Below are 13186 nucleotides of genomic sequence, written 5' to 3'. Positions count from 1 at the left end.
GGACTACAGGCATGCACCACCATGCCCAGCTAACTTTTGTATTTTTAGTAGAGACGGGGTTTCACCATGTTGGCTAGGATGGTCTCGATCTCTTGACCTTGTGATCCTTCTGCCTCAGCCTCCCCAAGTGCTGGGATTACAGGCGTGAGCCACTGCACGTGGCCATGCGTGTTTATATTCTTAGTAAAAATTCCTAAAGTCTCAAAGTATACACATTTCTAATGGGCTTCCAGAAATATACCAATTTATATACCCACTCATATAATACAGTTCCCTTTTTCTCATACTCTCCACTAACATTTTAAACTATATTGATCTGATTGGATAAAAATGTCCCATTTTATTTTATTTTAAAAAATTGTTTTAGACAGAGTCTTGCTCTGTCACCCAGGCTGGAGTGCAGTGGTGCGATCTTGGCTCACTGCAACCTCTGCCTCCCGGGTTCAAGTGATCTCATGCCTCAGCCTCCCAGGTAGCTGGGATTACTGGCGTGCACCACCACCACTGGCTAATATTTGTATTTTTAGTAAAGAGGGGTTTCGCCATATTGGCCAGGCTCGTCCCAAACACCTGGCCTCAAGGGATCTAGCCACTTCGGCCTGCCAAAGTGCTGGGATTTCAGGCGTGAGCCACCACGCCCAACCCAAAAATGTCTCATTTTAATTTGCTGTTTTTTGAGGGGTTTCTTATTTTGTCTTTGGTGATTTCCTTTTAATTTCCTTTATACATGTTTCTATTTTGGTGTTTTTCTTTTGTAAAAATCCCATATATATTATGACTATTAAGCTTTTTTTCCCTTCTGTTCCAAGTTTTTATCTTTTTTTGGCTTTCAGCTTCGGTGTTTTTTTCTTTACTTACAGAAGTTTTTGTTTATATGATCTATCCTTTGAGGTTTCTCCTTTAGCAATAGGCTTAGAAGAGCCTTCTTTTATTCAGTGTTATAAAATACTCACCTACATTTTCTCTTAGTACTTCTGTGCTTTCAGTATTTACATATTTAATCCACCTGGAATTGGCTTCAGTATAGAGGAAGAGATTTACATGTTTTTCCAGGTAGTTAGGCAGCTGTACCAACATCATTTATTTAATAATGCATCTGAGGTGCCATCAAATTTTATTTCTGTTGGTATTAAATATTCTTAAGTGAGGCATTCAGAAGCATTTTGAATTAGAATTGAATGAATCAAAATGTAAATACTAATGTCCATCTTTTTGTGTTAGTGAAAACTTGTGGAAAATGGTGGAATAAAAATGTGAGAAGCTGTTCAGTTACCAAGGACACTGCTACTGAAGCTCATCTTTGGATTTATGAACTCTAGAGTTAAAGAAATATGTGTACAGAGTTTTTTAAAAATAAAATAATACAGCAAGACTTACAATGGAAAATCCTGCCCACTTTTCCTTCCCAGAGGCAAATATATTTTTACGAGAGGCAAAACCCATTTGTTTATAATACTTTTTTAAAAAGGCTTTGGCAGGGTTTTTTTTTAATTAAAAATTTTTTTAATCTTGTGTATATAATAGTTGCATATATGTATGATATACATGTCATGTTTTTATACAGGTTTTGATTTTTTGGTATGATAGCAGGTATTCCGTCCTCTTACATGTTCTCTGAATAGTTAGATGACCCCTACTTTATCCTCTTCCTCCTCATTTCTTCTTTCAGTCAGCTGTCCCTACACATTGCTGGGGTTAATTCATATTCTGTTTTTAAAATTATCATTAGGTCTTACATGCCTTGTCAATAAGTGGATTCTAAAATATTATGGCTAGCTATGTTTACTGCAGACCCAGCTATTAAGTTATTAATTCATATTCTAAGGTTTCAATGTTATATCATCACTCAAAGGAAGAATATGCAAAAGCATCTTTCTTTTCTATATTTCACCTACGTACTTAAAACCATGTCACATTTTTTGAAAGTTTTATATTTGGTACCATAACTTCTTTTAAAAAAAAGTCTTGTTTTTCCTGCAGTTTCTGATTGCCCTGTTTTTTGAGGTAGGAACATAAAAAAGTGTTCTGTTTTTCCTGCAGTTTCTGATTACCCTCCTTTTTTTTTTTTTTTTTTTTGAGGTAGGAACATAAACTTTTCTTGACCATCCTAAATATCTTCTGTTCTCTTTATTGCTTCCCATCTTTTTATTTATTGCTTCCATTCTCCTTACTGCTTATAGGGTTAGAGTTAAGGTACATTACTTTCTTCCAGAACCACGCTGACTTTCTCATCTGTTTGACTATGGCTTTCTTTTATAACCTTTTTTTTTTTTTTTGAGAGGACATTGGTGTTGGTAGTTACCTAGCATTCTGTTCTTTTATCATATCCTCATGCCTTTTAGAATTTTTTTCATACTGTCTGCTGTAACATATCAGTTTTTTTATGTGGATATCTTTTGGAACTCTGTGTTCTGCCTATAGAAGGCTTATTTCAGTTATCCACCTAGGACTTCCTATTTAATGCTTTTCTGCATTAACCTATGGTTGTTGTTTTCCTAGATTTATTTCCTTCTCTTGCTTAAACACATTCTCAAGGAATAGTCTTAAGAAAAAGGAGGTATTCTGAGTTATTATATGTCTGAAAATTTCTTTTTCTGTTAATAAACATGATTTATAATTTAGCTGAAGTCCAGAAGTTGTGTTGTCTCTTAGTGTTTTTAGCAGTGCTCTGTTGTCTTCTGGCATCTAATATTATTTATGAGAAGTCCTAATGCTAGTGTAATTTTTATTCTTTTGTAGGTATCCTATTTTTTTCTTGTCTGCAAGCTTATAGCATCCTCTATCATCAGCAGTCTGAAATTTCACAATATGTCTTGAGTCTTTCATTCTTATTTTTTAATTATACTTTTTGTTGTTTAGTAGTCACCTTAAATTGAAAGATTCATGTCTCCTTTCCTTTCTGATAATTTTTCTTACTTAATTGGTTTGGTAATTTCTTCTTCATTTTCTCTTATTTCTTTCTGAAACTACTATTGGTTGAATAATAGAGCTCCTGGTTTGATGGTCCTCATATTTCCTATTATCTTTTTGCTTTTGATTCGGAGACATTTACTGGACTTTTGTCTTCTAACCTTTCTTTGGTGTTTTAAAATTTTAGCATTGTTCATTTTGGTTTTTCTCTGTCAGGCTGCTATCTTCAGAAGCTGGTGATTCTCGGTTGACCCATTCATATGTTAAAATAAAGCATTGGGTCTATTGTGAGTTCTATTTATATTTTGGTGAGTCTTGTCAACAGGTAGACAATTGTCAGTTGTCAACTTAGAGTGAACAGGCATAGAAATGGACACTAAATGATGTGCCCAAATTTCAGAGGATTATGTTCTATTTTTGTGGCAATTTCCATGTGTTTAGAGAATGTGCAGTTTTTCTGGCTGAAAGTTTATCAGGATGTTTTTGGCTATAAGCAACAAAAATTTTGGTTCAAACTTGTTTATAAAATAAAATGTCTGTCTTGTATATCGAGAAGTCCAGAGAGGTTGGTTCTAGGCACCATATGGTCAGTGTGTCAGTGCTGTTATCAAGGGACCAGATTCTTTCCTTTTCTCTGTTCTAACATTCTCTTGGCTTAGGCTATTTACTTACACTAGCTCCCTTTATAGTTGCTAGATGGCTGAGGCAGTTCTAGACATCACATCTTGATTTGGCTATATCTAATAGAAGAAGATAGTATCTTTTCTTGTACTTCTTTCTTAGGAGCTAGGAAACTTCCCAGAAGTCTCTTCAGCATATTTCCTTTCATACTATTAGACAGAATCAGTTCATGTCTATTCCTAAATCAGTCACTGTCAGGGGAAATGAGCTTACCATAATTTACCAGTACTCATCAGAAATTAACTCTGGAGCTTGTGAATGAGGTCACATACAGGGCAGAATGAGATGCCTAATAAAAATTAGGGTTCTGTCAGGGAATTAAAGGGGAGGAATGGATGCTGGGTGGGTAGCCATAGTCTACTCCATGTGGGGCTAAATGTCTGTCTACATTTCTACCTGCAGGGATGACTTGTTTATTTGCAGAATTTCACTTTAATTCCCCTTTTCTCAGCCTCACTTCATTTCTGTTCATCATTATTATGCCTGGCTTCTTTTTGGACTCAGGCTTTTCCAAGGTCTGTTGGGCAGGTCTGCTGCCTTTTTGGCTGCTGATCCCTTCTTGTGTATTCTATGCCTGTGGCTTTCTCTGCACAGTTTTATTAGTCTCAGGTACTAGGATCATTTTCCATCTTGCAAAAGTTTGTTGATATTGCTCATTCATTAATTCATTTCCTTTGTTGCTTCTTATTCACTATCATCTTTAGATTATTATATTTAGAAATTCTTGAGCACATAAAAAAGCAGAAAACAATATAATAAACTGCTGTGTGTTTAATATACAATCAACAGCTGTCAACTCATGGCTAATTCTGTTTCATCTGTACTCTAATCCATTCTCCCATCTAATCCCCACTTCCCCTATTATTGGTTTGAAGACTTTTACTTTCATTTTAATGTAGAAGGAGATAACATGGATGCCTGGTTTGCAATCTTGAATCAGAACTCTAGTTTAACTATAATAGGGTCATTGCCTGATGCACATGGCAAGTCAGTACACCAAAACAGCAGACTGCAACAGAGAAAGTTTAATTGTAGGGCCACTAAAGGAGGAGATGGGAGGAAATCTCAAATCTGTCTCCCTGAGGAGTTTGGGGGTGAGGGTTTTTAAAGGTTTTGGAATGGGCTGATGTGTGGAGATGTTTATTGGTCCGAGAGTACAAAGTGAAGTCATGGACAAAGGGATGAATAAACTATTATCATGCTGATTAGGTTTTTCTGTGGGGGTCTTTAAATTGGTTGGCAGCAGCTGTTTTGCCAGAATTCAGGATCTGCTTAAGCCATTCTTAACATCAGAGATTCTATCTTAAACAAAAGCCTTATGATGCTAACACTAGAATTCTTTTTTAAAAAAAGTATATATATATATATTTTTTTTTTCACAAAAAGGTTTTCCCACTTCCAAGAAATTCTATCTGTAGGAACAACAGGGATGCAAATGGTCAGTATCTAGTGTTACCTGACTTTTAGTTATAAGAAAGTGGGTCTAAGTGCAGCCTGATTAATGCTTAATTATAGCTATATTTCCATCCAGAGTTTTGTTAACTGTGTGAGGGCAGCCTCACTAGTAGCATATTTTGAGAGTTGGAAATAAGATGAATGAGGGTAAAGAAGCCTTAAACTTTGACTTTTATTTTCTGTTGCTAGAACAGAAGCACTACATTTGAGCCTAATCTAAGATATATTTTCAGCTTTATTATGGCACACAGGGAGAGGAAGGTAATTACATTAAGCATTATAATATAGTGTGTTAAATGCTAATGATCATAATCATTGAACCCTTCTCAGTCCTCATCTTATTTAAATCTGGTATTTTAGCAGACTTTTTTGCCTTACTGCTATTAATTAATTTTTTTTTGGTCTCTTTCTTCCTTGCTTACCCTTTGTTTAACAACCAAATCAACTCTAGATCAATGAATGAAATAAAAAATCTCCAGTACCTACCTCGGACCAGTGAACCCCGCGAAGTTCTCTTTGAAGATAGGACTAGAGCTCATGCTGATCATGTCGGTCAGGGGTTTGACTGGCAGAGTACGGCTGCTGTTGGAGTTTTGAAAGCTGTACAATTTGGTGAATGGTGAGTTAATTGAACTCAACTGCAAGGTTGGTTAATATTGTATAAGACAATGTGGACTCTATTTAAAAGGTTTAGGACCAGTTTTTTAAATTGTGGTAAAATACACATAAAGTTTGCCATCTTAACCATTTTTAAATGTACATTTGGTAGAGTTAAGCATCTTTACATTGTTACGAAACAGAGCTCCAGAACCTTTTCATCTTGCGAGGCTGTAACTCTATACTCACTGAACAACAATTCCTCTTTTACTCTCACCCCCAGGCTCTGGTAACCATCATTCTACTTTGTTTCTATGAATTTGACTACTTTACATATTTCATATAGATGGAATCATATAGTGTTTATCTTTTTGTGACTGGCTTATTTCTCTTAGCATTGTCCTCAGGATTCATCCGTGTTGTAGCAAGGGTCAGAATCTCCTTCCCTTTTTAGGCTGAATAATAATTCATTGTATGTATATACCACATGTTGTTAATCAGTTTATCCATCAGTGGACACTTGGGTTGCTTCTACCTTTTGGCTTTTGTGAATAATGCTGGTGTGAACATGGGTGTATAAATATCTCTTCATGTCCCTGCATTCAATTATTTTGGCTATACACCCAGGAGTGAAGTTGCTGGATTATATGGTAGTTCTATTTGTAATGTTTTGAGAAACTACCAGACTGTTGTCCACAGTGGCTAAACCATTTTATATTCTGTTGGGGCCCAGTTTTAACAAAGCTCAGGACATGGAGATACAAAGTGGCGAGAGGACTGCAAATGCAACTAGTTTAGAATAAAACTATTCTTTTTAGCCATTTTTGTTTTAATTTTACAACAGCAAATCTGATTTTTATGGCTTTTTAAGCTTTAGTTTTTTTCAAATTAAAAAAAAATTGTATACCTAGTCCTTAGAAACTATGCATCTATTTCTCTGCTGGTAGAAGCATTTCCAAGAACAAAAGAACTGAAATTTGTCATCATTTTTCATTGTGAGATGTTTGTCTCTGAAACTTAATTTTGTTAATCTTAGGAGTGACCAACCTCGCATAACCAAAGATGTGATTTGTTTTCATGCTGAGGATTTTACTGATGTTGTACAAAGACTTCAGTTAGATCTTCATGAACCTCCAGTTTCCCAGGTAATAACTTATGTTTTATCACCATTTGCGATATTAGAAGTAAATATCTATACCCATTTTATTTTGAATTTTATCTTACAGTCTGATATGTGGGATAGTGAGTTTAATTTTATTACTGTTAAAGACTGGGGTGGGGGTGGTGCTGAAAATCATTTAAACAGAGCTTCCCTAGCAGAATGCTTGAAATCCTTTCAATCTTTGGGATACCAGGTGGGCCTGGGATGGTTAGAGGTCCCAGGCGGCTCAGTTATGGCCATGAGCTGTCTCACTTGTTAACCCCATTGCACTGTGTCCCCTCAACTGCAAAAGGCTGAAAGACACACTAAAAGAAAAGAAAACATGTTGCCTTTATGTGTGGTAAAGAATATTGATACTTAGCTGTACTTTGAAATACTTAAATGATTCTCTAAGCCATTCTGATTTTAACCTGTACTTTGTTACTAAAGAGGTAGTAAAATAGGAGGAAAATAATTTCCCAGGCATTACAAGAATTTTTAGAGAGTTACCTATCATTTAGTGTTGCTTAATTTTAATTTGATTATTGTTATGACACATTTTGTTTCTACTGTTTTCCTTTGCTAATTATTTCACTTGACTAAATTATTACATATTTTAAAGTCTCACGTAACTTTTTTCTTTCTTCAGTGCGTACAGTGGGTAGATGAAGCTAAACTAAACCAAATGAGGCGGGAAGGCATTCGTTATGCTAGAATTCAGCTTTGCGACAATGATATCTACTTCATCCCTAGAAATGTCATTCATCAGTTCAAAACAGTTTCGGCGGTGTGCAGCTTAGCCTGGCATATAAGGCTTAAACAGTACCACCCTGTTGTGGAAGCCACTCAAAACACAGAAAGCAATTCTAACATGGACTGTGGTTTAACTGGAAAGCGAGAATTAGAAGTTGACTCCCAATGTGTGAGGATAAAAACTGAATCTGAAGAAGCATGCACAGAGATTCAGCTGTTAACAACTGCTTCATCATCTTTCCCACCTGCATCAGAACTTAATCTACAGCAAGATCAGAAGACTCAGCCTATTCCAGTTTTAAAAGTGGAAAGTAGACTGGACTCTGACCAGCAACACAATCTGCAAGAACATTCAACCACTTCTGTGTGATATGTACATATTCAAACACATTTTTTAACTTTTTTAAATTTTGATGTGAAGTTATAGTTTTATAACTGGCTTAAGTTAAGTTTTATTGGAGAAATCTTGCCTATAATTCTATAAAGAGAAATGACATTCCACAAATGTCAAGCATATCTTTTTTACACAGATTATGCAAAGTTAAGAGTTGTATCTTATCCCGTTAGTACAGTATGTAATAGTGGGTCTGCTGCTACTTTCTGTTTTAAGGTGTGAGGTAACAATTCAATCTCTTCTTCAAATCAAAATGAGAATTCTCTGGAATAACAGATTCTTGTTTGGTAAATTATTCACTTCCCTTAATTTTATCTTGCCTTGTCTCTTGCCATATTTGCTGTTTTTATGGATAAATAAGATTTATGGTTTAGTACTTGTGTCTTTATGGCACAGGTTCAATTTCTACAGTGAAAATGGCATAGGTTGCAGGAAAGAATTTCTGCATCTGGTACATGGGCAAGTAAGTTATTTAGTTCTAACCACAAATAACAAGTAGTTTCCAAGGAAATTTCAGTGGCTCTCTGGTTTCTTAACAAAAGAGAAAGCACAGCACTTTCTGATCCAAACTGTCTTTTTTTTGTATCTGTTATTTAAAGCCCAGTGGATATTTCAATTAAAAAAAAAATCTAAAGATGAATAGTCCTTGGTCATTCATTATCCATGGCTCATTAATCTCTTCTAGAATATATGCTAACTGTTGAAGATATTTTGGGTAAAAGAGATAATGTTGACATGATACTCTATTGTTCTGCTTCCTGGCATCCTCACATTTTGTGGGGATAATTTTGCTTCCTAAACTGATCACAACTATTAAACTTAGAGAATAATAATAGTCTTTCTGATGAGGCTGCCATATTTTGAGCATCAATCTTATGATAAACTATTCTTGTCACTTGGCATCAACCTCTTCATGATAAATATCTACTACTGAGACACTTCAATTCACAGTTTTAACTGGTGAATACCTGGGTTTATTTACTATTACTCTGTGTTGCTATTTTCTAAGAAAGAATACAGCACTAGACTTCATCCTAGAGTTTCAGGTAGGCTAATGCTTAGTGCCTGAGTATTTAAATTTTCTTTTCAAACAGGCACAGTTCACATTGCTAGTATGGTCCTAACTTTCTGTTATTTTAGAATGTTAACATGATTCACATTATACTTTCTCTTAGTTAATAATACAGTAGGCCTTTTGTTTATTAATGGAAGAGTACTCCCCACACCTAAGACCAGATTCTTATATCTCCCTGGTTACAGTGCAATTTGGAGATTTTTTTTTTTTCCTGGATGGTAAGATTTGAAATATTTACATTAACATAGGCAAAAAAAAAAAAAAATACAAGATGCTGCTTTATTATGTCTGTCACCATGAAAACTTAGCTGCATCTTTTGAAATATCAAATATGAATTTTCTCTAAAATATTCTGAAATAGGTTAAATCTTATATAAATATTACTTTGTGCAATATTGTTGTGTAGTTAAATGCATATTAGCAAAGTATAGAGGTCACTGTGTAAACCGATAGAAAAGTAACCATCAGCAAATACTGCAGTGATTAGTTAGAATCTGTATTATTCCTTATATATATGTATATGTATGTATTCTCTGTTACAAAGGATGAAGACAAATAGGGATACATTTCAATGTAAACCATTTATGAATTGGAAGTGATGTTGGCTTTAGTTATCTTTGTAAATAAGGTAATTAGAATGGTATGAAAGGTAATGTGATTATTGCAGGGGTGTTTTTAAATCTTGGGTATAAATTCTAGGGTAAATTCCAGTTTATCCAGACTAGTTTTTAACGGGACCTGCCTTTGAGGGTGTTTTTTGTTATTTTGTTGGGGAGGGGTTTAATCACAAAGTGTGTGGGTTTGGGTTATTTCTTGTTTTTATTTTTCTGTCCAGAAGAGCTTTACCAGGCTGTGCAAAGTAAAATTCTTCTCAGGCAACATTTGCTTTTAAAAATAATCATGAAGAGAAGGCTGTTAAAGCAAAAATTTTTTTTTTTTAATTTTTTCTTGTCTTCCAAGATCCGATTTCCCCATCTCCCACTTGCCATCCAGCAGATGCCATCTGTCATCCAAGCTGGTCATTGCTAATAAACAAGGAGACTGTCTCCTGACAGCCAGCACTGTGTATTATCACTCAGGAACCAGCGGATCTGCAAAGACCTACAATCAAAAGCAAATCCCCATTTTCCTTTTATAAAACATTCTACCCTCACCTCCAATATAAACACATTAAAAGAGTACAATAAAAATGTTTAAAATCATGTACTAATAAATTCATTGTATGTTAGAATTGCAATAGAATGAAGAGAAACATTTAGCTAGTAACGTGATCTGAAAACTGAATGTCCTATGTGAGTATTAGATTTTAATAGCATGCTTTAAAGACTGATGAGTATAAAAGCAGAAGTTTTGCGTTTTTTACTGCTTTCAAAGCTGTATCCTAGTTTAGTGATACAAATGATTGCAATTTTTCTAAATCATTAAATTATTTGGTTTGGTGGAGTGAGGCATGGAGCAATCTGGCGTCTTCTGATTTGTTAAAGTAGTGATGGCAGTGAAGTTGTAACTGAAATTTAAGCTGATCTTCCTTTTTGGTATATTATCCGTTGTGCCAGCTCTTGAGATTACTTGCACAATGTGGCTATAAGTTTTAATATTTTGTGGAGCAGAGGGATGGTTTTTAAATGTGCTTATGGAAAGGACCCAATAAATGAATATTCCTAACTTAGTAAAGTAGAATAATTTCATGGTATTCATTAAAAAGCATAAAAGTCTTCCTCTTGCCCCAGAAGTAATTCTCTATACCAAGATATGCTAGGAGTAGGATGATGATTCAAAGTGGTAACCCAAATTCATAAAGCAATAATAATAAAAACCTATATAGTATGTTCTCTCCTCCAAAGTTTTAACTCTAAAAATTGGTTCCTAGGTTTAATTGTACCTTTAATTTGCTTATTCAGTACTTAGAATTTGTTTAACTGGTACTTTTATTATTTTTTAGTGAAAGACTTTTGAAAAGTGCCCTTTCCCCTTAAGAGACAGTTGGAATACCAGTTGACTAATATTACAAGCTCTTGTAGGGGGAAAAAGGAGCTTATTAAAGTTGTTTACTAAACTTTAGGAAAAGATGTCTTGCATCAGTCTTACTAGGCATAAAAGTCACACTTAATGACTGGAAAAAACTTGCTTATTGCCTTTCCCTATATAAATATTAATTGTCTAGAATGAAAGCTAATATAGGAACAAGACTCCCAAATCCATGAAAACGCTTAGTGAATATATTCTTAATCATTAATAAATTAGCCCATTATATTTTCATCTGTATTTGCCATAAAAAATTTATTTGCATTTATGCCTTTAGGATAATTTTGTATCTTTCTAATCTGTTTTATCATTGCTACAGGTTTTTAAAAAAGAACCTTTCACTAGCTAGCACATGCCAGAGGTTCACATCTGTTTTGTTTTTCAAACAGGTCGTAGCTGTATTTATTGGCCATGCAAGTAGAGGAAATGCACAGTACAAATGTTTTTCTTTAGCACGTAAGGGACCTATCCTTGTCTTGAAAGTTTGTTGCTTTAAAAGCAAGTATCTCTCCATAAATATTATGGCCTTCCATTTTCTTCATACATTTTTTAGGATCCACTTGTGCATGTAGTTGAGACCACTGTCTCTTAAAATATAGCACTTTTCAATTCTCTCTAAAGAAATACTTATGTACTACTATCACATGTTGTAAATTTTCATGTAATAGTGTTTTCTGTGAGTAAACTCCATTTTGATTGGCAGCTAAGACTTTTTTTCCTGTGGCTTTTATTTATCTAAGAGGTCTTTGCATATAGATGAAATGTATATTTGCCTGGCGGACTATTTGCGTTGTGTGGCCTTAGTTTGTTTATTGACATTAACGAGTGTTTTAAAAAGGTTTTTAATGAATAGTCTTAAATCTAAATTTGTGTGAATAATCCTTTTAACACAGTGCTTTTTTGTAGCTGTCTAAGTGTGTTAAATTGTTAAGCTATTTCTTTGTAAAATAGGACAATGGAATGCATAGTTTTTTTTTTTCCTGTAAAGTATTTTTTTAATAAAAAAAGTCTGATTTGTCCTTTACTGGTGTTTCATCACAAAATGCATAGCATATGTGAGTTCTAAATACCTGGAACCTGTTTTTAGAGGACGAATCCCTCACCTACTGTATCCCCTACTACTTCAAAAAAAATTTTTAGAAAATCTTATGACTTCTTTCCTAAAGATGTCTGGGGAAAATTCCATCCATATTGAGATGCAATTAGTTTGGGGGAAGAAGAAAAAATACACTTGACATTTGTTGTAGTTAATGCCTCTTAATTGCTTAAATTGGTGTGTATCTACTTAAAAGAGGACAGTCTTAAATTTTTATTCTGGTGATGTGGATTTTCTTGAAAGTGCATTGAGTATTAATGAAGATGGCGTATAGACTTTTATGTCATTGATGTATTAATGTGACACAACAAAATGGATTTCTTTCCTCATCAGTTTTTGTGTGAAGTTATCTTTAATTGAGGTACCTGTCCTAAGCACTGATAGCCTTTGGTTCTGTCTAGGAAAGGAAAAGAAAGGGACTTCACATTTTTTGAGTAACTGCCATGGGCCAGGCAGTTTATATGAGGGTTTCTCATTTAATCCTCACATCCTTAAGAAGGTGACTATCTCCATAATACAGGTGAGAAAACAGGCTTGTTAGTTGAATAAATTGCTTAAGATCACAGATTATTGGTTGGGAGCAAGGATTCAGACCTTGTTCGCTGGTAGCCGCAGGAAGCACTGAATAGTTTCCAACAGGGCACCTGAAAAATGGTTTACTACTTACCACTATTCTCTAATACTTCTTACCTGATTCAGTTCCTCCAGACACTCCCTGAAAATCTGTGTGCCAAACAGTGAAGTAAAGTACTTTTGCTATTAATGTAATTGAGGTTAAATATTTACGTGTGCAAAATTCGACGTTTTTCACTTGTCATTTATCTCTTTTTTCAAGTTGGCCATTTGTCTTGAAGCTCAACAGAATTGTAATGTTTAGCACTAAGGAAAGGAAAAGCTGTCAAGGAGCAAAAGCAGAAGGAAACCACTGCCAATGTGTGCAATATAAAAATAAGGGTAAAATAATTTTTACTTTATTTGAGACAGGTCTCTGTTGCCTAGGCCGAAGTGCAGTGGTGCAATCATAGCTCACTACAGCCTCGAACTCGTGGACTCAGACGA

General features: G+C 34.7%; 1 protein-coding gene across 2 annotated transcripts in view; it reads left to right on the top strand.

The window, feature by feature from the left end:
* RSBN1 (round spermatid basic protein 1) overlaps positions 1 to 12055 on the top strand; it is a 50645-nt gene extending 38590 nt beyond the window's left edge. For both annotated transcript variants that reach the window (NR_130896.2, NM_018364.5), the window contains 3 exons: positions 5498 to 5665; positions 6680 to 6788; positions 7434 to 12055. Coding sequence is in view for 1 of the 2 variants with exons in the window: in NM_018364.5 (NP_060834.2) it covers positions 5498 to 5665; positions 6680 to 6788; positions 7434 to 7907 (751 nt within the window). In the remaining variant the exon portion in view is untranslated. The remainder of the gene's footprint in view (positions 1 to 5497; positions 5666 to 6679; positions 6789 to 7433) is intronic.
* Positions 12056 to 13186: the final 1131 nt, after the last annotated feature.

This window comes from Homo sapiens, chromosome 1 (genome assembly GCF_000001405.40).
Source record: "Homo sapiens chromosome 1, GRCh38.p14 Primary Assembly".
NCBI classification, from domain to species: domain Eukaryota; kingdom Metazoa; phylum Chordata; class Mammalia; order Primates; family Hominidae; genus Homo; species Homo sapiens.
This window is presented reverse-complemented; position numbering and strand designations above follow the sequence as displayed.